This window comes from Homo sapiens, chromosome 4 (genome assembly GCF_000001405.40).
Source record: "Homo sapiens chromosome 4, GRCh38.p14 Primary Assembly".
Classification (NCBI taxonomy): Eukaryota; Metazoa; Chordata; class Mammalia; order Primates; family Hominidae; genus Homo; species Homo sapiens.
In genome coordinates, this window is record NC_000004.12 from 143,538,138 (window position 1) to 143,563,082 (window position 24,945).

At 36.8% G+C, this 24,945-nt stretch overlaps 1 protein-coding gene and 1 pseudogene across 3 annotated transcripts in view, besides 3 other annotated features; both read left to right on the forward strand.

Annotated features, from left to right (window-relative positions):
• The window catches only part of SMARCA5 (SNF2 related chromatin remodeling ATPase 5), a 43,785-nt gene extending 24,436 nt beyond the window's left edge, over nucleotides 1–19,349 (forward strand). Inside the window, exons 12-24 of one of the 2 annotated variants that reach the window (NM_003601.4) lie at nucleotides 453–574; nucleotides 649–801; nucleotides 2,226–2,358; nucleotides 5,372–5,520; nucleotides 5,716–5,835; nucleotides 6,600–6,710; nucleotides 7,333–7,446; nucleotides 7,788–7,910; nucleotides 8,639–8,771; nucleotides 9,248–9,366; nucleotides 9,791–10,003; nucleotides 11,860–11,967; nucleotides 14,982–19,349. In NM_003601.4, the coding sequence (NP_003592.3) occupies nucleotides 453–574; nucleotides 649–801; nucleotides 2,226–2,358; nucleotides 5,372–5,520; nucleotides 5,716–5,835; nucleotides 6,600–6,710; nucleotides 7,333–7,446; nucleotides 7,788–7,910; nucleotides 8,639–8,771; nucleotides 9,248–9,366; nucleotides 9,791–10,003; nucleotides 11,860–11,967; nucleotides 14,982–15,047 (1,664 nt within the window). In that variant the 3' untranslated portion in view covers nucleotides 15,048–19,349. Of the gene's footprint in view, nucleotides 1–452; nucleotides 575–648; nucleotides 802–2,225; nucleotides 2,359–5,371; nucleotides 5,521–5,715; nucleotides 5,836–6,599; nucleotides 6,711–7,332; nucleotides 7,447–7,787; nucleotides 7,911–8,638; nucleotides 8,772–9,247; nucleotides 9,367–9,790; nucleotides 10,004–11,859; nucleotides 11,968–14,981 lie in introns of those variants that run through there. The other variant, XM_047416323.1, reaches the window with a different exon arrangement.
• Nucleotides 21,077–21,236: an enhancer, noted in NCBI's record as "active region_21952". NCBI's record gives its function as "activates an Ori minimal core promoter by ATAC-STARR-seq in GM12878 lymphoblastoid cells {active_cell/tissue: GM12878}" and the evidence as "EXISTENCE:reporter gene assay evidence [ECO:0000049][PMID:35858748]".
• Nucleotides 21,247–21,356: an enhancer, noted in NCBI's record as "active region_21953". NCBI's record gives its function as "activates an Ori minimal core promoter by ATAC-STARR-seq in GM12878 lymphoblastoid cells {active_cell/tissue: GM12878}" and the evidence as "EXISTENCE:reporter gene assay evidence [ECO:0000049][PMID:35858748]".
• GUSBP5 (GUSB pseudogene 5) lies at nucleotides 21,335–23,323 on the forward strand (annotated as a pseudogene). Its single transcript, NR_003675.2, has one exon. The product of NR_003675.2 is annotated as a GUSB pseudogene 5 (transcript).
• Nucleotides 21,487–21,586: an enhancer, noted in NCBI's record as "active region_21954". NCBI's record gives its function as "activates an Ori minimal core promoter by ATAC-STARR-seq in GM12878 lymphoblastoid cells {active_cell/tissue: GM12878}" and the evidence as "EXISTENCE:reporter gene assay evidence [ECO:0000049][PMID:35858748]".
• Nucleotides 23,324–24,945: the final 1,622 nt, after the last annotated feature.

Below are 24,945 nucleotides of genomic sequence, written 5' to 3' on the forward strand. Positions count from 1 at the left end.
AGGATAGTCATTGTAGATATATGAGGCACATATTATGGTCCTTTGATCTAGAATGGATCTTCAGAACCAGGCTGAGACCAGGATTATTAGGTGTGTGTTGGAGGTTTGGGGAGTCATATGCATTGAAGAGTTGTTGTGAAGTAGTGGAAAGTTATTTTTAAATGTATATGGGGTAACAAGATAATGATTATCTTACCCTTTGGGATGGCAAAGCCTTCCAGACCAGAGGCAAATATGCTTTTCTGTACAAATGTTACCCTTTTTTATTTGTGCCATGGTGAGAAAAAAGTGGGAAATGACTGACTTGGATAATAATGTGTAGATTTTTTTCCCCCTTGTAACCAAGTAGGTAGCTTTGGAATTAAGGATAATTGATTAGTCTTAGTTTTGGTTACCCTTAAATTTTTCTACTTTTGAAGCCACTGATAATAGATTGTTATATTCCCCAACAGGTTCACGAGTACTAATCTTCAGTCAAATGACAAGGGTATTGGACATTTTGGAAGATTATTGCATGTGGAGAAATTATGAGTACTGCAGGTTGGATGGTCAGACACCCCATGATGAGAGACAAGTGAGTAAAATTTGGGGAGGGAGATAAAAAAGAATCAGATAAATTTTTTGACAACCATTTTGTTTTATCCATAGGACTCCATCAATGCATACAATGAACCAAACAGCACAAAGTTTGTTTTCATGTTAAGCACGCGTGCTGGTGGTCTTGGCATCAATCTTGCGACTGCTGATGTAGTAATTTTGTATGATTCTGATTGGAATCCCCAAGTAGATCTTCAGGCTATGGTAAGAGATAACGAATAAATATATTCTGTGCTTAGTAGATGGCGTTAGTTAGGACAGGCTAATTCTACAAATATCAGTGACTTAACCCAATAGAATTTTATTTTTCTCTAATCTAATGGTTCAGTGAGAGTATATTGAGGTGATCTTCCATCTAAATAAGGGTATTTCCATCTCAGGGATCTGCCATATCTTAGGACCCTGGAGTCCTCTGCTATACTGCATCCTATTGGCAGAAGGGGGAAACGATAGAGTTGGGGATTTCCCAGGAAATTCTTTATGGGTCAGACCTTGAAAGAGCCTCCTTGTCTCTCCACCCCCTTGATCAAAGAATTAGACAGAACTCAAATCATGTAGCATAACTGACTGCAAGGGAATTGGTAAATTATAGTATAGTTATATCACAGGACCAAAGAGAATTGGGTTTGATGAGCAACTAGCCTGTCTTCCACTTTAGTTATTTAAAAGAACACCTGTGTGAGAGTACCTGGTCAGATCAGGAAGATTATTTTTAGATTGAGAGAATTGATACTGCAGATTGGCCTGACCCATGATATTGGTGACCACAAACCCAACTTTAATCTCTGTCATTAGTCACTTTCTTTTTTTTTTTTTTTTGAGATGGAGTTTCGCTCTTACTGCTCAGGCTGGGGTGCAATGGTGCAGTCTTGGCTCACTGTGACCTTTGCCTCCCAGGTTGAAGTGATTCTCCTGCCTCAGCCTCCCGAGTAGCTGGGATTACAGGTGTGCGCCACCACGCCTGACTAATTTTGTATTTTTAGTAGAGATGGGGTTTCACCATGTTGGTCAGGCTGGTCTCGAACTCCTCACCTTCAGGTGATCCACCCACCTTGGCCTCTGAAAGTGCTGGGATTACAGGAGTGAGCTACTACACCCAGCCCATTAGTCACTTTCATCTTGTACTCTTACTAAGGGTGACAGGGGAAAATGGACCAATTATTAGAAATAAGGGAGTTTTTTAGGAATGTAGTTAGCAAAAGTAAAACAAATTCATATTCAGATTAGTTTGACTACTTGTATATAGTTAATTGGGTAATATTTAAAGGTTAGAATTTTTGTGTTGTTTGCTAAGTTGTTTCATGTCACTTCTTTGCCTGATAGCAGTGACAATTTGGGTTTGATTTAGATAGAAAAACATTTTGAATTTAAACCTAGGAAAAAAGACTTAAAATCTTTCCTCATCAGACTTAAAAATTATAATGTTGTATATTGTTTGGAGACATTATGTGTTTTATCTCAGTGTAACCTAGCAGAATTCATCTGATTCCTTACAGATGCAGTGTTATTACAAATTTTTAAAAGTTTTATATTTCAGAATATTTTAATTTTTTTTCTCAGTGTACCCATTTCAGTGTTATTTATGTGACTTTTAAACTAAATTCAAAATAACATGGTAATTTATTTAGGACCGAGCACATAGAATTGGGCAGACTAAGACAGTCAGAGTGTTCCGCTTTATAACTGATAACACTGTAGAAGAAAGAATAGTAGAACGTGCTGAGATGAAACTCAGACTGGATTCAATAGTCATTCAACAAGGTAAGCCATGGAACTTTAAAACTTTACCAAGTTGGATTGACACAACCTGTTTTTGTTTGAAAATCGTCTTAGAAGATTCTTGTTACTAAGCATCCATTGAGTCAAGCTTGCAGCCAGTAGAGATGACTTGTATTGCAAATACAGTAAACTTTAGTTTTGTCATTAAAAAGATGGATTTGGGCTCAGGACAGTTGAGGTTTGAATAATGAGTCTGCCAGTTAGCAGTTCTCTCTGGTTACATGAACCCATTTCCTCATCTGTTAAGTGGGGATAAAAATAACTACACTTAAGGATTTTAAAGGATTAAAGGGGATAATGTATATAAAATATCTGACATTCAGTGTGGTGGTTAATGATTTATATGTACTAACTACTCTTGATTACTGTGGGGAAAACTGAAGAAATAAAAATCAAAGAGCCTGATTTTATTCTTTTTTCTTGTCTGCAATTTACTGAGTACCCACCAGATGCTAGGCACCGTTCTTGGTGCTGAGAATTCAGTGGTAAATGGAACAAACAAGTATTCTTACTTTCAAAGAGTTTACAATTTAGTTGGGAGGGAGAGATGAAGTAAACAAGGGTATAAGTAGGAGTAGGGGGTGAGAGTGGGATTTTATTTTGGATCAATTGAAGGAAACTTAAGTTCTCATTCCAGATCAGCTTTTAAGGATGACATAATTTATGTTTTCATGAAGCCTACTATAAAGTTGATGATGGGAAATATAAAATTCAAGAAAAGGGGTGGGAAACTTAATAATTTCAAGTGTGCATTGGTTTCCTTTGTAACTGCATTTGTGAGCATGTATTTACTATCTGTCTATAAAGCTGAAAGGCATACTGTTACATTGTTTACTGATTATGTAGGTATCTTGATTTTGTCAGTCTCTGATGTCCATGTAAGAGAGTATTGTACATGTCTTTGGTATCCCTAATGCTATTCATAGTGTTAGCCATATGTCTGCATACCTGAAGACAATAAATTATTGCTTATTTTTACAAATCGTTTCCCTTAATAAAGTGTTTACTTTGTGCCAGGCAGTGTGCTATATACTTAACATTTCATTTTCTCCTTTAGTCTTCATGCCAACTTGAGATGTTAGCATCAGAGATAAAGGCTTTTGAGAGGTTAAATTACTTGTTCATTGTACATACAGCTGGGAAGTGACTCAAGGGGGATCAAGAACTTTGTTAACTCTTAAGTGTTTAATTAGAAAAGTCTCTGGGGACTTCTCGAGGCTGCCACCCCGTGATGTTATCTCATGGGTGATATAATGGCTAATGTTTTATTTTTCTTCACACATCCATGTGTTTTGAAATACACCTGCCGTGTGTTTCTTGTTCTCAGTTATTTTCATCCATGAAACACTTTTTTTTTTTTTGAGATGGAGTTTTGTTCTTGTTACTCAGGCTGGAGTGCAATGGCACGATCTCGGCTCACTGCAACCTCCGCTTCCTGGGTTCAAGCAATTCTGCTGCCTCAGCCTCCTGAGTAGCTGGATTTACAGATGCCCGCCACCACACCTGGCTAATTTTTTTGTATTTTTAGTAGAGACAGGGTTTCACTTTGTTGGCCAGGCTGGTCTTGAACTCCTGACCTCAGGCGATCCACCCACCTCAGCCTCCCAAAGTGCTGGATTACAGGTATGAGCCACCACGCCTGTCCAAAACACTTTTTTTAAAGATAAAAAAGACCTTAATTGATTCATAATTAATTTAGAAATCTTGAGGTTTTTTTACTTCATATTTACTGTGGCAATTTTTGGAGCAAACCTTCAGGCTAATAGCTTTCTTGTGCCGTTTGTAGACATGTTAGTCAAACAGCAAGCCTTAAGTGCATACCTTTGTGTTACTGTTTTTTATTTGAGGGACATAATTAAAAACGAGAGTACACAAGCACTTTACATCTGAAGGTTCCGGAACCTTCCTGCCCAACTTGGAAGTAGTTTGTATAAGCATAAGAACATTTTGGTAGCAATGGTAGCATCCAATCCAAGGAAACATACCTTGTGGATATCTCCTCACTTACAAAGTCATGGATGTTTGGCTGTATATCCTATTATGGGTCCCAAACCATGATACAAGTATTTAAAGAAGTTGTTGAAAACTTGGATCTTTTTCCACTTACTTACAAGTTGGTTGGCATATAAAAATCAAAGCTTTGTTTAGGTGTATGTGAGTGACCCTTGAGGAGGGTGAAAACAAGTCTTTCTGGGTTTTTGTTTGTTTTTTTATACCTGTATTTTTGAAAAATTACAAGGTTGTCCAAACTCCTGCCAACTGAAAATATTTATTAATTTATTAATGGTGAGTTTCTTCGATGATCCAGATACATTTTCTCACCAGGTGTGGTAGTGCATGCCTTTAGTCCTAGCTACTTGGGAAGCTGAGACAGGAGAATGGCTTGAGCAGGGAGTTGAAGGCTGCAGTGACTATGGTCCTGTCATTGCACTCCAGCCTAAGCAACAGAGCAAGACTCCATCTCAAAAAAATAAACGAATAAAATAAGTTTTTAGGAGTTTCAGTTCTTCTGGAAGTTTTCTTTAAAAAGAAACTGATGTTACATATTTCAGTTCTGTGTAAAGTTTGGCCTAGGTGAAGGATTTTTTACTTTACTTTTCTAAGGAGAAAAGCTGATTTGGGGAGTATTAGTTAATAACACCTTTCTGCTCATCAGAAACTTGTGTGTATAATGCTTCCATCTGTTGAAACTTGTAGGTTTTTGAAAATTTTTCATATGCAGCTTTCACAAAAGATTATATTTCGTTGGCACAGTATACAGCAGGTTTCATTATATAATACATAAGGTTTAGGAATGTTTTGTAGCTTACCAACTGAAAATTTGGCATTAAATTTAGTGCAAAAATCAAAATTATTAGATGTGAATAAACAGTAAACAGAAATGATTGACATTTGAGATAAAATTATAAAGCATTAAACCTTACATTTAAAGTTTCAAGTTTCCAGTAAAATAAAGTCTGTTCAGTTAACATTATACAACACAATCTTTTTTCAGGGAGGCTTGTGGATCAGAATCTGAACAAAATTGGGAAAGATGAAATGCTTCAAATGATTAGACATGGAGCAACACATGTGTTTGCTTCAAAGGAAAGTGAGATCACTGATGAAGATATCGATGGTATTTTGGAAAGAGGTGCAAAGAAGGTGAGATGTAGATTAAATAATGCTTTTAATATAGAATGTTTTAGACCAGAAACAGGAAATATTTGTTACATTGATGATAAATAATTTTATTTCCTTAAAGAGAAGCTTTTGTGTACGTGAAGTTAATTTATTTTGACTGCAGTTTTCATGCTTTCTTTGCTGTGAATCTAAGAAGCTGATTGTTTTGTTCTCTAGACTGCAGAGATGAATGAAAAGCTCTCCAAGATGGGCGAAAGTTCACTTAGAAACTTTACAATGGATACAGAGTCAAGTGTTTATAACTTCGAAGGAGAAGACTATAGAGAAAAACAAAAGGTAATTTAGAAATAGGTTTGGGTTACATGAAAGCTTTATTTTACTGGAAACTTGGAATTTTAAGTGTTACTGTAATGTCTTATAATTTTGCTTAAAACAGTAGTCATTTTTGCTTATTCACATCTGAATATTTTCATCATTATGTAAAATTTAATGCCAGTTTTTCAGTTGGTAAGCTCTGAAATATTTTTAAAGTTTTTGTAATGAAGTTTGTGGTATATGTTTACAGTGAAATATATTCTTGTATGGGATGAATAGTAATTTGGGATGGTAACCTGATTCATTTTATTTTAAACAGCAGAATTGGCTGGTAATAAAGGGAAAAATTTCTTAACTTCATAAGTAATACTTGGTAATATAGAGATAAATTGAAAAATACCCAGAGATTAGAAGAAAAAAATAATTCTACCCAGTGTTTTTCTTGTTAATATTTAGGTCTATATCTTCAGAATTTTTTGTAGGCTAATTATGTGTCTACATTTTTCTCCTAGTTTAGATTTATACCAAACATTCTGTAGCATTTCTCCCTCATTTAACAGTTGTTCCTTTAAGCAAGAAATACTGAATGCTTACTCTGTTGACTAGACACTGTCTCGTGTTAATTATATACATAATATTGAGCAAAGTATCATAGTCTCCACCCTCATAGAGCTTATAGCCCAGGATTTTGTGAATATCTTTACATTTACAAACATCCTTCTTGATGATGATTTGTTACTGTGTATAATAAAAGTTGGTGATTTGAGTTGTTTCCCATGTGCTAGATTGCATTCACAGAGTGGATTGAACCACCTAAACGAGAAAGAAAAGCCAACTATGCCGTTGATGCATATTTCAGGGAAGCTCTTCGTGTTAGTGAACCTAAAGCACCCAAGGTGAGTTGACTGACACAGCATAAAAATATCTAAAAATTTTGAAAATGTAATTTTTTTCATATATTCTTGCAAAAAGATTGATAATTAGATTTTGTGTTTCTTTTTTTTTTTTTTTTTTGAGACAGAGTCTCACTCTGTTACCAGGAGTTCAGTGGTGCGATCTCAGCTCACTGCAACCTCCGCCTCCCGGGTTCAAGCAATTCTCCTGCCTCACCCTTCCGAGTAGCTGGGACTACAGGCACCCACCACCACCCCTGGCTAATTTTTGTAATTTTAGTAGTGATGGGGTTTCACCATGTTGGCCAGGATGGTCTTGATCTCTTGACCTCATGATCCGCCCACCTTGGTCTCCCAAAGTATTGGGATTACAGGCGTGAGCCACTGCCTCTTTCCTACATTTTGCATTTCTTTAGAGTGTACTCTCTTCTGTTTTTAGTTAACATTTTTCAAAAATTAATTTTGAATCTGTGCATTTAAAATTAAGATATAAATTCAGTTTTATTGAAAGATGCATTCAGTTGCTTGCAGAATTGGCTGTTGTGGTTTATGAAGTGAGGACTAAGGATACATTTAAAATGAAATTTCTTTTTTATGGATAACACTTATTTTTGTTTTTCTTTAGGCTCCTCGACCTCCAAAACAACCCAATGTTCAGGATTTCCAGTTCTTTCCTCCACGTTTATTTGAATTACTGGAAAAAGAAATTCTGTTTTACAGAAAAACTATTGGGTACAAGGTAATTGAAATTATCTGCCTTTCTGTTCATTCCTATCCAGAAATTATGGAAGGTATAAACATTAGTTATAAATATTTATCTAATTTGGACCTAGTGTGAAACAATACTGCTTTAGCCTAGTCTAGTTGTATGTATGAAATACATAAACTTGGGTCTGTTTTTCTTTAACAAGAAAAAATAAGACTTCATGACCAATCTGGTTTGTTTTTAACATAATACATGCAATGTATCAGTATATTTTCTTTCCTGGTTGAATTGAAACTTGTGAAATGTCAGTTAGTTGGTTCATCACATGCTCTTTAAAATTTACTGATTTGATGGCATAGAAAAATATCTTTTAGGTACCTCGAAATCCTGAGCTGCCTAATGCAGCACAGGCACAAAAAGAAGAACAGCTTAAAATTGATGAAGCTGAATCCCTTAATGATGAAGAGTTAGAGGAAAAAGAGAAGCTTCTAACACAGGTATAGCCTTTAATCAGTACAAACTTTAGTAACAGTTTGTTGTAAAGGACTGTGTTAGGTTATGTTGGGGCATAAAAATAAATACAAGTTTCTGCTTTTAAAGATGGAATAATTGGAGACAATAAAGTATGGGCATGTGGATAAATGCTCCATCTGATTGTCACTAGTTGAGGTAGTTGAGAAGACTACAGATTTTATTACTCTGGCTCGGTAGAGTGGGTATCTTTTTTATCACCTTACTTTGAATGTTCCCGTCTTTCCTATGAATTTTCCACATTGCTACCCAGTCACCATTTTCAACTATAAATCTTGGCTTGGTTATTTTTTAAACATCCTTTGGTGTTCATCAAGGTCTTTCAGAATCTGGCCTTTGACTTACCTTTAAAGCTTCATTTTCCTTCCATTTTTCTACTTGCTCATATTTTTGCCCTTTATGTTATTCACTCTTTCTGGCCAACTGCTAGTAATCCTTCAAAGCTCAGTGAAACTGTCACCTTTTCATACAGTATTCCTTACTCTCAGCCACTCATATTTAATTGCTTGGGTATTTGAGCAATATATAATGTGTTGTCAAAAGTGTATATTTATGTACACGAAAAGTTACCACTCTAAAAGAACTTAATAAACTAGTGAAAATTTGTTTTTGTAATATTTAGAAGGTTTGCTAATAGCATGTTTTCCAAGTTTAATGTGCTGTGATTAAATATTTTGTTTCTGTTCCTGTGAAGGGATTTACCAATTGGAATAAGAGAGATTTTAACCAGTTTATCAAAGCTAATGAGAAGTGGGGTCGTGATGATATTGAAAATATAGCAAGAGAAGTAGAAGGCAAAACTCCAGAAGAAGTCATTGAATATTCAGGTAATTCTTTTAAGCAGGCTGTTGGAGTTTAGTAAGAGCTGTTGGAAGGTTCTTGTTTTCTTATTCTGAATTATGTTGTGATTAGCTAATTTTGTCACAGTGTAGTTAGTACCTTCTTCATTATTTTTTACAAATTAGAAAATGTTCTGTTTCCAGAAATGGCGTAATGGTTTCCTTTTTAAAAATTTTTTAACCCTAGCTAACTCTAGCGACAGCAAAGAAAATCAGAATAAGTCACTGGATAATTGCCCTTGCATTTTTATCTTAATTTCTCTGCATAACTTCAAGTATTATGTGTTGTGTTTCCTGAAGTCAGTTGTATTATTAGGTTAACATGTGAGGGTATGCTGTGGTGAGTCTGCTTAGAATAGCAGAAATTTAAGAATTAGAAGATAAATAATCCAGTTGATCCCATTTTTTTTACATTAAAGAAATAAAAATATAAATGATTTGTTTACTTTGTCCAACTTTTACAGCTGTGTTTTGGGAAAGGTGCAACGAGCTCCAGGACATAGAGAAGATTATGGCTCAGATTGAAAGGGGAGAGGCGAGAATTCAAAGAAGAATAAGCATCAAGAAAGCACTTGACACAAAGGTAATTTGCTTGTTAATAAGTTAGGTAGTTAATAAAATAACTCCTAGCTGTGAGTATGAGAGAGTGACTTTTTATAAAGGAAAAGAAGTAAGGGTTTACAATTTAAAATTTCTTCAGAGTAGCATTCAAACATGGTATTGTCAGCAGAATTTACCTATACACTAGACTGATAGATCTGAGTCAAAGACACTAAGATTAGCTTTTTACTAAGTAGAATCAGGAAGTCTTAGTCTGTATTTCTCTTTATAATAATAAAGACTATAAAGGTCTTTCGGGACAAAGATTATATAAAGCAATTGAAGTGCTCTAGATAGAAAATTCTGATTTGAAATGCAACATTTTAGCTAATTATACTAAAGCTGAGTTTGAAATACAGATTATATAGGATTTGTATTTTATATAATATAAAATCTGACTTTCATAGATTGGACGGTACAAAGCACCTTTTCATCAGCTGAGAATATCATATGGTACTAACAAAGGAAAAAACTATACTGAAGAAGAAGATCGTTTTCTGATTTGTATGCTTCACAAACTTGGATTTGACAAAGAAAATGTTTATGATGAATTGCGACAGTGTATTCGCAACTCTCCTCAGTTCAGATTTGACTGGTTTCTTAAGTCCAGAACTGCAATGGTGAGTGCTCAGGGCTTTTTTGTGTAATGTAGCAGAGTTCAGAGTAAGTGTCATCTTTGGTATTCTTTAAGGTGACTTTAAAAAAATCTATGAAGTAGACTTTTGTTACAATATTGTTAGTATCATAAAACCTAATACCAGGGATAGCTTACAAGTTTATTGGTCCTATCCTTTAGTATCTTACGTCTTTAAATATCACTATATGATAAGACTAGCTTTTCAAGTTCTAAGTGGGAGGAAGTATCAGTTTCAACTTCTGAGTGTTACGACTTTTTGGTTTTTCAAATGAACATATTTCTATAAAGAAAAATGGTCCTTGCATTCAAGCATCTGCACATCAGAATCAGCATTCTGATTTATTTAATATAAATCATCCAGAGTCTGGATTATTTTAAGATGGCTTATTATAGTGAAACACTACTTTTGCACTGATTTAGTGCTAGGTTTTGTTTTTATTCCCAATATCTGACTAACAGTTTCTGACCAAATAGCCCCATTTCTAATAACCTAAAATTTGAATTCAGAAAAGTTTAACTTTGATGGATTGCTCCTTTTCTTCCTTATTTCACCACCATTGAACTTTGAGCTTCAACTTGTTTTCTGCCAGATGAGGATAATGCTAATAAGTTCTTTAGTCTTAAGTTTGGGATATTCTGGGATAAGCAAAGTTTAAACATCTTTGTGTTTGTTTATAGTAAGATTTCTCTGTATATTTAAAGTAAAATGTCACTTTGTAAGACAGTGGATAGTAAGCAGTATTTTCATGTTTGACCACTGAAAATTTTTTTTCACTAGACATCACTGTTTGTGATACCCAAGTTTGGGAAATGTACTAAACTTAAATACATGAAGATACTTTGAAGATAAAACACTGTATAAATATATAATTAGAGAAAAGATCCAGTTGCTGAAAGCTTATTTCTTCTTAAGTGGGAACAATTTATAGAGTTAATAAAGAATAATTTTATAGTGATTGTAACAAGACAGTGCCATGTTAATTTAACTAGTACAGTACCGTAATTTAAAACTGTGTTACTTCTTAACATGTTCCATGTTAAGATGCACAAAAAATGATAATGTATTCTTCTATCTCTATATACTATTTCTAAGTCTTGTGTGGTGTATTCTATACAGTAGTATTTTAAAATTATTTTACTGTAGTTGTGTGTGTAGTAGTATCACTTACTATAAGAAAAAAATAATTTTGCTCTATAAGAAAGGGGGCTGCTACCCAGCAGCCGTCCGTGCAGATGGACTTCTGTTTCTTTCAGGGTTAACTGCTACTTCTATGTTATACTTTAAATCTTTTCTGGAGGCTGTATGTCCAGTTTGCCAGAGAGAGATGAGGTAGAACTCATCGTAGACTTCCATGGCTGGTTTTCCAAAATTGGGAAAGGTGCCATGTGATTGATTGACTACCATAATTCTAGTGATACTTTGAAGGGAAAGATTATACACACCTGTTAAAGTTCTTGTTGTTTTTGACCCTCACATATGTGCACTATTAATCTTTTTAAGTTTTGGATATAAGTAGCACAGTAGTTCTCAGACATACACACTAAGTAGCAGTATTGCATATGTTCATTTTTATTGCTTTAATTCCTAAGTGAAGGAAGAATTTTTGAAGAATACACAGTAGTTTGGCTTTAAAGATTGGAGTAAAAACATTATTTACAAATATCTTGCCTTTAATCTTCATAGCATGAATTGTATATGAAAATCAGTTGTTTTTTTTTTAAATCAGGGGTGTATTAGTGGTTTTATATATTATCCTATTAAAACATACCTTGTTTTAAAATTGAAATCATGAAACTTGTGGATGGAAAGTGCGTGTACCATGTTTGTTTATAATTTAGGAGCTCCAGAGGAGATGTAATACCTTAATTACTTTGATTGAAAGAGAAAACATGGAACTAGAAGAAAAGGAGAAGGCAGAGAAAAAGAAACGAGGACCAAAGCCTTCAGTAAGTATTCATGAATATGTAAATATGTGGATTATGTAAATTTCCCCTTTCTAAGTATTTAACACTGCTTGGCTGTCATTGATGTGTTAGTCCCTGTTGTGCACCCCTCCATTGCCTTTACTTTTTTTTTTTTTTTTTTTTCCTTAAGGGAGAACCCAAGCTCATAATTTGAGATTCTTCCACTTTCAAATTTAGGTAGTGGTATAATTTTTAATTTTTAGTTGTTATGAGTAAGTATGTATTTATAGGTTACATGAGATACTTTGATACAGGCATGCAATAAGTAATAAGGACATCAGGGTAAATGGGGTATTTATCACCTCCAGCATTTATCCCTGTTACAAACAGTTTAACTCTTAGTTATTTTAAAATGTATAATTAAATTATTTATTGCGGTAGTCACTGTGTTGGGCTATCAAATACTGGGTCTTAGTCTCTCTTTGTATTTATTTGTATCCATTAGCCAGCCCCACTTTCCCCCACCCCCACTGCCTTTCTCAGCCTCTGGTATCCATCCTTCTCTCTGTCTCCATGAGTTTAATTGTAGTTTTTAGCTCCCACAAATAAGTGAGAACATGCCAAGTTTGTCTTTCTGTGTCTGGCTTATTTCACTTAATAAACTCCAGTTCCATCCATGTTGCTGCAAATTACAGGGTCTCATTGCTTATGGTTGAATAGTATTCTATTGTGTATACATACCATGTTTTCTTTATCCATTTATCTGTTGATGGACACTTAGGTTGCTTCCAAATCATGGCTACTGTGAATAGTGCTGCAGTAAACATGGGAGTGCACATATCTCTTTGATATACTGACTTTCTTTTGGGTGTAAACCTAGGAGTAGGGTAACTCTTATCTGTAGTTTTTTGAGGAACCTTCAAACTGCTTCCACAGTGATTGTACTAATTTGCGTTCCCACCAAAAGTGTATGAGGGTTTCCTTTTCTCCACATTCTTGTCAGGATTTGTTATTGCCTGACTTTTGGATAAAAGCCATTTTATCTGGGATGAGATGTTATCTCATTGTAGTTTTGATTGCATTTCTCTGATGATCAGTGATACTGAACAGCTTTTAATATGCTTGTTTGCCATTTGTATGTCTTCCTTTGAGAATCATCTGTTCAGATCTTTTGCCTATTTTTAAATCGGACTGTTAGGATTTTTTTCAGTAGAGTTGTTTGAGCTCTTACATATTCTGGTTATTTATTAATCCTTTGACAAATGGGTAGTTTGCAAATATTTTCTTCCATTCTGTGGGATGTCTCTTCACTTTGCTGTTTCCTCTGCTGTGCAGAAGCTTTTTAACTTAATGTGATCCCATTTGTCCATTTTTGCTTTGGTTGCCTGTGGGGTATTATTCAAGAAATCTTTGCCCAGTCCAGTGTTCTGGAGAGTTTTCCCAATGTTTTCTTGTAGTTTCACAGTTTGAGGACTTAAAGTCTTTAATACATTTTGATTTGATTTTTTTATATAGTTAGGGATACAGGTCAAGTTTCATTCTTCTGTGTATGGATATCCAATTTTCCCATTACCATTTATTGAAGAGACTGTCCTTTCTCCAGTGTATGTTCTTGGTAGCTTTGTCAAAAATGAGTTCCATGTAGATGTATGGACTTTACGGACTTATCTCTGGGTTCTCTGTTCTTTTCCACTGTTGCACTGATCTATGTATCTGTTTCTATACCAGCACCATGCTGTTTTGGTTACTATAGCTCGGTACTATAAGTTAAGTCAGGTAATGTGATTCTTCCAGTTTTATTCTTTTTGCTTAGGGTGGCTTTGGCTATTTCTGGGTGTTCTGTGGGTCCATATAAATTTTAGTATTTTTTTTTCTATTTCAGTGAAGAATGTCATGGGTATTTTGATAAGGATTGCATTGAATCTGTGGATTGCTTTGGGTAGTATGGACATTTTAACAATATTGAATTTGCTAATCCATGAACATGGAATATCTATTTTTTTGTGTCTTCAGTTTCTTACATCAGTGTTTTATAGTTTATCTTAGAGATCTTTCGCTTCTTTGATTAATTCCTGGGTATTTTATTTCACGTGTAATTACTGTAAATGGGATTACTTTTTATTTTTCACATTCTTCACTGTTGGCATAGAAATGCTACTGTTTGTTGTATGTTGATTTTGTATCCTGCAGTGTCACTGAATTTGTTTATGAGTTCTAATAGTTTTTTGATGGAGTCTTTAGGTTTTTCCAAATGTAAGATTATGTCATTTACAAATAGGGCAATTTGACTTCTTTGTTTCCGATTTAGATGTCCTTTCTTTCTTTCTCTCGTCTGATTGCTGTAGCTAGGACTTCCTTGAAATACTTAAAAAGTACAAATTTAGCTTGACTGGGTTGTGTGGGAAAAATCACTTCTTGATGATATGGTAGTCCTTAATATGGGGCTTCGTGAAAATCAGGAAAGTATGTCTCGTAAATGTCAAGTGTGTACACATCTCATTGAGAATACAAGTTATAATTTTAGAATAATTTAAGAAACATTGGAAAAGCAGTGGTATTATGACTTTTACTGTTAGTCTCTAAGCTTTGATTATTTCAGTGATGTTTTAGCAATGTGAAGGCAAACACTTAAAGGGAAAAAATGTTATTTAATAATAGTTAATTTAATAAAAAATGGTTAATTTATAAAGTCATGAATAAATGAGTATCTCTGGATAATATTTGGTACTTATGTAACTGCCTTTTAAAAACTCAAGTGTTTCTTACTATTTTGGGAAGCTTGCATTTATTTGATATTGATCTACTACTGTTAATTGTGCATTAGTTTTATAACGTCATTATTAACATTAACATTTTTTATTCTGTAAGTAAAATAAGTAGGTAAGATTATTTGGAGGCTTTATAGTTTGCTTTGAAAGATTTATATAGCCTGGGGGAAAAGTCTCATACCTATTACTTTGTAGTAGTTGTTATTACTAAAGTGTTATAATGTGTCTGCAACTATATTTCATGTTTATATTAGTCTTGTGAAAAGTAATCCTTCTGTCTGTTTGTAGACACAGAAACGTAAAATGGATGGCGCACCTGATGGTCGAGGAAGAAAAAAGAAGCTGAAACTATGAATATGTTTTTGTTTCATAATCACTAACTTTAAACCAGTAGTTCTTTAATTTACGGGTCTTCATAAGATGTACTGTACAATGCTCAATTGTTATGTCATTTAAAGACATCAGGTTCATCTGTTTACTGAGCTAGAAACATAGTATGTAGTTTCACTTTTTTAAATGCAACAGCTGTGCTGAAATTTTTTTATCATTAACACTTGAAGTAATAAAATAGGCTTCATTTATTACTAAGTGTTTCATTTGATTTATTTTTCTATTGTAGTTCCATTTGTGAAGATTGTGACTTTTTGTTTATTAGCTATAATTTCTACACTTGTAAGGCTTAAAAACAAGTTAAAAAGAAAATTGCAAATAACATTTGTCCCTTTCAGTCTTCACCTAGTTGTGTAATTATTTTAATTCACTTTGCCTTTGCAGAAATTTGGGTATTTTCTTTGTAGTGCTATTGAGTCTCATCTGGAAAGATTATATAAATTGCATTCTCCTTGCTTATGTGGGTAGAATGGGAAAAGAAGGCAAGACAAAGTATACTTAAATTCTATGCATATTTCTGTTATGCTTTCTGTTTTTTTTAGTTGATTCTGAAATGAATATGCCCTATTCTTTTGAAAGAATGGCCTTTTAGTTGTATAGCCAAAGACATTTAGTATTTTCCGGTTCCTTAAGGTATTACTGTACCATTTTGTAAAAGGAATATTATTATTATTATTTTTAATTATTTGGTAAATATTTTGTCATATGACCTTCTGAAGCAGCCACAACTTAGATAATGTCAGAACTAAGGTGATTTTTTTTTTTTAATTTTGAAAGCCCAGCCAAAATGAGGTGTGAATTTGTCATACTGTTACATTGAAATTGGTAACAAAATATATCCCCTCCCATTTGGACTTTTAGGGTAAATGAAAATTTTATTGTATTTTAAAGTAGTTTCTAAGTGTTAGCAAGACTGACTATAATTCCAGTTTCTGTTTTCTATGGACAGACCTGATAAACTGGAGACCCTAAAGCAGGAATACCCAAATTATAGTGTCAGGATTTTAGCTGTACCAGAGGCCTTTATGTGCTACACATAATTTGTATAAAATTTTATATGTGCAGATTGGGTACATAAACAGTTCTCCATTTTTCTAAGGGAATGCAATAAATGTAGCATCGTGAATAAATATAACTTTTATAATCCGTAAAGTGGTCTTTTCTTTCCATTTCTTTAATTGTTTTCTCAATTTTTATTCACTTTTTCCTTTAGGACACATTTCCCTTAATTGGATATCTTTCCCTTAAATTTCTATTAGTAGTTGTTTTCATCTGCCCACATGTAATTGAAGATTTAAAAAAAAAATTTTGATACCTGCAGTATTACTAATACTGCTTAATTTCTTGAAATGTGGAATTGCTGCTGTTAATGTCAAGCAAAACGCAGTATTTATGGCAAATTGTAAAGTAATTTGAATTTAGTGCTACCTCAAAATTAACTTTTTAAATACTATGTTAGATTCTTAACAGTTAAAGGTCTAATACATGCATGAGGAATGGTTACTTATGAAAGGAAAAAGAATTTGTAAGAGTTATCACCTCAGTTTGGAAGAAATTGAAAAAATGTAAGGCTGAAGAAAACTTACGGAGGTCACAAAAGTGATGTTTTCAAGAGGAGGAGAAACTGGGAGGGAGATACACAGTGGAAATGCAAAATGAATCAAGTATAGTGGTAGCCCTGAGAGCTTAGGGACTCAAATGGAAACTGTGTGAAGGGAAACTCACTTGAAAAAAAAGCATGAACCAGCTAGGCCCTGCCACCACTGTGTTTGGCCAAGTTCACAAATCTGTTTTAACCTGTCACTTCCCTGTCACTTCTCTGGCTTTCCTCTCCCGCTAAGCTTTTGTTTCCTGGCAGTAATTAAAATCTTCTGTCAGTGCCACAGCTACTACTGCTACTGGAACTGCCTTAACCACTACTGCTACTGGAACTGCCTTAGCCACCTTGGTATCGTGGTTTGGCAAAGTATTGGCCTCTACCACCATAGGGCCCAGAGCTTCTGCCTCCAAAGTTTCCTCCCTTCATGGGTCCAAAATTTGAAGACTGATTGTTGTCATTGCCAAAATCATTGTAGCTTTTACCACCTCCAAAATTGCTTCAATCATTACCAAATCTATTATAGCAATCCCCACTGCCACCATATCCATCACCACCACCATGGCTGCCACCAAAGCCACCACGATCACAGAACTTGATGACTGTATTTGTGACTAATTGTATAATAGTTTCTGTTCTGTGGAAAGTAAAGCATTCCAACACAGGGTTTCAGTGTAGATTGTTTTGTTTTGTACCCATGCTGTTGATTGCTAAATGTTTTAATAATCTGATCATGATACTGAATAAATGTCTTTTTTTTTTTTTAACAACAAAGCATGAAAGATTGCTTAATTGTACATCTGACAAAGTGCTGGAGGCTATTATAAAGTGTAATTATTACTACTTTTAAGAGACAGGGTCTTGCTCTGTCACCCAGGCTGGAGTGCAGTGGTGCAATCACAGCTCACTGCAACCTCAAACTTCAGGGCTCAAGTGATCCTCCCACCTCAGCTTCCCAAGTAGCTAGGACTACAGATACCACGCCCAGCTAAGTTTTTTTAGTTTTTGTAGAGATAGGGCCTTGCTATGTTGCCCAGTCCGGTCTCAAACGCCGACTTCAGGCAATCCTCTTGCGTCAACCTCTCAAAGTGCTGGGATTACATGTGTAAGCCTACATTCCAAAGTGCTGGGATCATAGTTGTGAGCCTACACCACACCTGGCCTACATTTTGTTTTTCATAAAGTTGAGAGAAGCAAATCCTAAGCATAGAGTACAAGTTGAGCATCCCTAATCAAAAAATCTAAAATCAGAAATGCTCCATAATTTGAATGCTCATTAGGGCATTTCTGATTTTTGGATTAGGGATGCTGAACTGATAAGTATAATGCAAGTATTCTAAAGTCTGGAAAATGCTAAAAACACTTCTGGTTCCAGGCATTTCAGATAAGGATTGCTCCATCTGCCCTTTGAGTATTTAATATATGCCGATTGTTTGAACTAATCTGGATTTAATTATATAAATGATTATATAAATGATCTTTGGCTTAGTACCTTTCTTAATCTCGATCTTAAAAAGCATTGTAAAACACCCCTGTGGTTTTTCAGAAAAATTCTGAGTAAAAAATAAATTTCATCTTGTTCTATCCCTTTGAATCTAAAAAACAAATCTTTTTGAAAGGATGTGCTACTATATTTCAAACCAGTAGTTTTGGAGTAGAACATTGCTAAAAAAATGGGTACTAAGGAGGGTAATTTAAACAAAGTAGATTAATGACACAAGGTGGATTGATGAACTCATAAATCCAAATGAATGGAATGCTAGAAGACATGTATTAACGGAGTAGCTGTTACCAAAATATATACATATTTTGTATATGTACATAGCTGTTACCAAAATGTATCTTTGCCTGTTGGAATCTGATGTCAAGATCAAAGGTGAGGGCATCCCTCAGATGACAGATAATGGGCAAAATACATTCTTGGTGTGGAGCAGTGCTGCAGAATTAACTTCGCTGTGTACATCCCAGAATCGTTTTGGATCTGTTAAGGTTTTTATTAGAATGATTAAATAGGCTTTTGCAGCATTAACTTTACAGTAGTTACCAGAAAAGACTATGCTACAAGAACCAAAATTGAAGTAAGAAGAAAAAGACTGAAATGATATGATTCTAAATGAAAAAAATGAAGAAGTGGAATAGTTTCTCCACAGGCATAAGAGGCAAAGCATTGTTTCAGAAGTGGACTGGCACCTCACCTGAGATACTCAAGACTGGCAACATGGGTCTACATTCTTTGTTACCACAGATTCCCTTGTGTCCGGAGAGATTCCCTAGCTCTAATGACAGCTTTTTTGGGGGGTAATGAGGCTATGAGAAGATTGAGGATCTAGGTACTTGCCTTTAACTCTACAGCATACAAGGTGTGTGGCTCTTATCTCTAGGACACCAATATTTAATGTTGCATATCATGTATCTCCAGTACAAGAAGAAAGTTTATCAGAATTTAGTTAATGTTGGAAACTTTGTAATATAAACAATGTAAACACTACATTGACAAAAATATTTTATTAATACAAAGAATATGCATATAGTTTGCTTACTACAGAAATTCTTGTTTTTGATGTAGACAACCCAAAGGAGTTTTTATGTATATAGATTGTGAATAAATTGGGAAAAGAAATAGAGATAAGTAGAGATTATTTCACTTCATTAAACTTTTGAAGTCCTAATTTAGTTCATGTGATTATTTGTAAACTTTTCTTTATTAGTCTTCCTCAATCATTGAAGAACCCAGGATTCAAATACAATACTTAATGGAAACACTTTTTCATCCCAAACTAAATCCTGCCCTGAAAGCCGAATTCACTATGAAATCTGAGATGAAACTCCAAGGCTATTATGCTGGCCAGTGGAAGGTTGGTTCACCCCTCTTGAGGTGACATTAGGGTGGTCTGCAGACATCACTGGAGTGGACAAAGAGATGCCTGGGTGGTTGGGGAAAGGACAGATCATAGACAACAGTAGCCTCTTTCTAGAGCTCAGTTGCAATAAATACCACAGTTACTCATCAGACACATTGGCAGTTCTACTTATTCCCATGTTTCAAAACTAGAGAATTCTAGCAAGGACTAAGCACTGCTTCTGTAGACCATCGGTATTTCTCCATGGCTGTTTGAATTTTTGTCAAAGCTTCTGTGTCTCATGCACACTAGTGACTTTTGAGACAGAGTCTTGCTCTGTCACCCAGGTTGGAGTGCAGTGGTGCGATCTAGGCTCACTGCAACCTCTGCCACCCAGGTTCAAGCAATTCTCCTGGCTCAGCCTTCCGGATAGCTGGGACTACAGGCATGCACCACACCTGGCTAATTACTGTATTTTTAGTAGAGACAGGGTTTCACCATATTGGCCAGGCTGGTCTCGAACTCCTGGCCTCAAATGATCTGCCTGCCTCCGCCTCCCAAATGTTGAGATTACAGGTGTGAGCCACTGCATCTGGCCTGATGCAGATTGATAATTTCTTGAGTGAGGCAGTGCTGTTGCCTAGTAGCAAGGCTTAGCTGGGTGAGACATTACTAGCTGCCTTCAGAAGCGGATCTCTGCCCTGAAGTTTACCAGCCTGCTTTCCTTGATGCCCATGCTGGCTGGGTGTAGGGATCCTGAGTGGAGGGAAAAAGAAGAATAGATGATACAGATTTGCTGTGCAAAGGCGGAGTTCTTACTGGCTCTTCCTCACAAACAGGCTGGTGATTAGCTGACTTTCAGATTCCCTTCTGGGAGGTGGCAAGGGGCCATCTGGTCATCCTAGCTTTGCAAGGAGTAACTTTTTTTTTTTTCATTTTATATGCCCTTTAATCCCAGTAGATGGATAGGTTTGCTTTCTTAGTATGCTTTCCAGTTGTAGAAAGGTCTTTTCTCTGGGTATTGGCTTTCCCCCAGCCTCCTATTTTTTGCGCTCCCCCTCCTCCCCAGCCACCTCTTTCCCTGGGAGCCAACTTGATAAAAGTAATGGCACAAGTCTTGCAGAATACTCCTACCAATCTAAATGCTGCAGACGCCACAGTGCTTTTTTCTCACCCTTAATAGTCGTAAGATAAGTTAGAGGGAGCTCCTTCAAGAGTACGCTGAGTTTAGTTTCTTCACAGCAGGAACTAATCTTTAAAAAAAATTATCATTGGGCTCCTTATTGTAACTGGACAGTACTGGAACTGGGTGGGTGCTTGATAAGAGAATGAATAGTTTAGGTAGTTACAATGAAACCACAGGCACCTGTAGAGGTCTCCCCAGGCTCACCTTGACGCTCTGATTGGCGGCTGCAGACCCCATCCGCGAGATGGCAGTGTTAGGAACAAAGGTGAGCTGCCCACTGCAGGTCAAACGCTGCCGGCTACCAGCTGCAGCTGGGAGTGAAAGACTAGAATACAGAAAGGCGCAGGCAGTCACGTAGGACTAGGCCGGGTTTAACACCCGAACAGTGGTGCTAGAAGGTCAGAGTCTTCTACGTACATGTTGGAAACATCCTTGATTGTCTAGCACCAAGACTTTTAAACACAGGGGGACAAATCATCACTTTGGGTATTTGTAATTGTTCGTCAGTTCAAATCTCTTGGTTTTAAAAAAATACTTTCCCTCTGCGCGACTGGCGCGTCACGTCGCGCGCGACCAGTCCGCAGGGCTCCTCCCGCGCTGCTGATAGGCCCGCAGACGGCGGCCCAGCAGAGGAGCGGAAAGCATGGTCCGGGGGGCGGCGGACGCCTGGTAGGCGCTCGGGCCGTTGTTGTGGGGCTGCGCGCTGGCGCTGCAGGGCGGGATGCTGTACCCAAGAGAGAGGCCGTCGCGGGAGCGGAAGAAGCTGGACCGCCTCTGGAGCTTCCGCGCCGACTTCTTCGACAAACTGTGCCTTGGCTTCTAGGAGTAGTGGTATCGGCGTCTGCTGCGAGAGTCGGGCTCCACCATGGACATACCGGTTCCCTCCAGCTTCAACGACGTTGGCCAGGACTGGCGGCTGCGGCATTTTGTAGACCAGATGTGGTACGAACGGGAGGTGACCTTCCTGGAGCAATGGACCCAGGACCTGCACACAAGAGTGGTACTGAGGATTGTCAGTGCCCACTCCTATGCCATCGTGTGGGTGAATGGGGTCGACGCGCTAGAGCATGAGGGATCTACCTCCCCTTTGACACCGACATCAGTAGCCTGTTCCAGGTGGGGCCCCTGCCCTCCCGCCTCCGCATCACTATCACCATCGGCAACATGCTCATCTCCTCCACCCTGCCACCAGGGAGCATCCTCGACATGGCCGACACCTCCACGTGGGTACCATCCTGCTTCCACCGCAGACACCCACCTTCCTGTCCCACCCCGTGGGGCATTACATTAGGGTAATTACATTAGGTAAGTCACATATCAGTGACTTACAAATTTTGTAAGTAATTAAGAAATTTTCAATAAGTGTGGAGCTGAATATTTACATGAGCCCTTCAAAAACTGATAGTTAATGGAATAAATGAAAATAACAGGAGAGACTTTGTTGAAAGAAGACAAAATAGTCAAGGAAGTGATAGAGGATACAAAAGAAAGATGAAAACTTACATTCATTTAATGTCTAACCGTGTGCCAAAAGACAATATTATTATTTAGTTTTCATAACCACAACATTTGGTGGATATGATTGCTTCCATTATATAGGTTAGGAAAGTAAAGCTTAGGGGTTTGTGAACCCACTAGTTTAAAGTTGTGTAGCCAATAGGTGGTTGAGTGAGAATTCAAAACTGGAACAGATTTGCTTGATCCAGAATGGTATAACTTTATTGTCCATGCATTGTCTTCTACATTTTACTGCCTGTAAAGTGGGAGTCAGTTATGGGAGGAGACCCAGAATGTCACAGGTTTTGAAAGCTGCTGTGGAAAATTTGGAAGGAGGCATTGGATTTAATGACTGATACAGGTCAGTGCAGATTGACCTTGGAGAGAACAGTTTTCTTCAGTGGCATGGTAGTGTTCAAAACAGGATCTGATGGTAAAGAAAATGTAGAACCAGTGTGTGTAGACTCCTTGATGGAAAAGTTTATTTGTAAAATATCAGAGGAAAATTATAATATAGATTTGTCCATTCAAACCCCAAAGTCCAGATTCTTACTGCAATATTTGATGTAGCCAATATACAGCAGTTGAGTTCAATTTTGGCCCCTGTTTATGTGTATGCTAAAGAAAAATAACAATCCTAAGCCTATGCCACTTAAACAAGAGGATGTGATTATACTATGAAACACTTGTGACCATAGGAATATAGCAGTGCTAAGGCAAAATAGGTCTTAACTTGACTTTTCCTGTCATTTGCTGCCATTGTTTGCCAAAGGTCTAGCACCTATCTTCAGAGGAAAGTCAAGAAATTAGTGCTCAGATGGTGGGATGAATTCCTGAATTATTGTTGGCTCTAGTAGTTTCTTCAGATCAATTTTATAGTTTCTTTAGAACTAGAAAATTAGGTCTCAGAATGGCAGTTGGCCACCCAATGTGTATAATACAATTACTCAACCAGCTGCTTGAAAGCAAGGGGCAACAGAGAAGTCAGCTACTGGCTCAGGCAACAGGAAATTTGATGATACTCCTTGGTCAAATCCTTCATTTAACATACATTTATATAGAACCTTTCTGTATCAGGCACCATTCTAGGTACCACAGATAAAACAATAAAGAGAACTGACAAAACCTCAGCCTTCATGGAGTTTATATGCTAACACATATGCATAAACAAACACATATAAAAATCCAGAAAGTCGTTACTGCTGTGAAGACAAACAACACAGAGTAAGCAGATACTGATGTTGGGTTGTTGCCTTAAGGTGGTCAGCAAAGTTGTTTCCGGGGAAATGACATTTGGATGAAAAACTGAATAATGTAAGAGAGTTAACCATCAAACATCTGTGTGAAGATCTTTAGGAGGAGTGGGGGAACCGCAAGTGCAAAAGCCCTGTGATGGGAAAGTGCTTGTTATGTTTGAAGAACAGCAGTAAGACACCATGGCTGGAGTGTAGTGGGGGAGGGAGAGAGAGGTGGTAAATAATAATGGAGACTTAGTTAGGGCCACATCATGTAAATAGAGCTTTTACAGTCTTGTAGACAAGAAATATGTTTTGATTTTTCCCTAAGTCCACAAAATAGTTTGTGATAGAAAGCCATCGAAAGATTGAAAACAGGGGAGTATTATTTGTAACCTCAGTTGCTGTTCCATGCAGGCATAGGAAAGAATAATGCTTCCTTGCTCCATATCTATTGCTGAAACAGTTCTCCATGATCTCTTTAGTCTGAGGACAAATGACATTTTTCTGGTTACAAGACAGAGGGGATATGCCATCCTAGGCATTGAGATTGGGAAATATCAAGCATGCATGTGACTGCCAAGTATTAAACCCCATTTTCTGATGACCACTAGGGTTCCAGGTATCAGCCCATAAAGTGAGCTTTTTCTGAGAAGAACGAAAGATGGCAGGTAGAAATGATTGAGCTGGTAAAGAAGACTGAGGCTTATTGTTAAGGTCTGGGGCCTAAAAATGTCAGGGTTCAAAGTGATCAATTTGGAAAATAAAGAGATTTGGACCCTCCTCTGAAATCAGGGAGTAGTGAATATGTGGAGTCAGAAAGTAACTGCAAATTCTGGAGAAACTGTGGAAGCAGCATTTTGTAGGAGGGTGGGGGAAACAACACCCTCAACTAGTATTTCTACCTTCTGGTAAATCTATTACTTTAACTTTACCTCTGCCAGTCAATAAAACTTTTTCATGTTTTGGTACATTTAAAAAATACTTTTCCTCTTTCTATTACTTAAATTTCACATTAGAGGTTGATGTGGGCACCCAATGACAGCGTGTACGGGCACATTTTTCTACTGTGTGGTTAACTCTGCTTGGTATCTGACTTGTTAACAGATCTTCTTGCTGGATACATATCTCTAGGAACAGAATTAATCTTTTTTCCATTTTAGAGGCCAGAAAACCCATGAAGAAAGGTAATAAGAAATTTGATTCCTGGTTATATTATAAATTATTGAAGGTAATTCTTCAAGGCAGCCTCTCCCTTCACAAGCCCAGAGGTCTAGGAGGAAAGAATGATTTTGGGAACCAAGCCTGGGGCCCCCCATTACCCTGTACAGAGTCAGGACACTGTTCCCCGAATCCTAGCTGCTTTGGCTCCAGCCTCAGCTCAGAGGGCCCCAGATACTGCTTGGGCAACTGCTCTAGAGGGCACAAGCCATAAGCCTTGTAGGTTTCCACATGGTGTTAGTTCTGCAGGCAGGCAGAAGGCAAGAGTGGTGGAGCCTTGGCAACT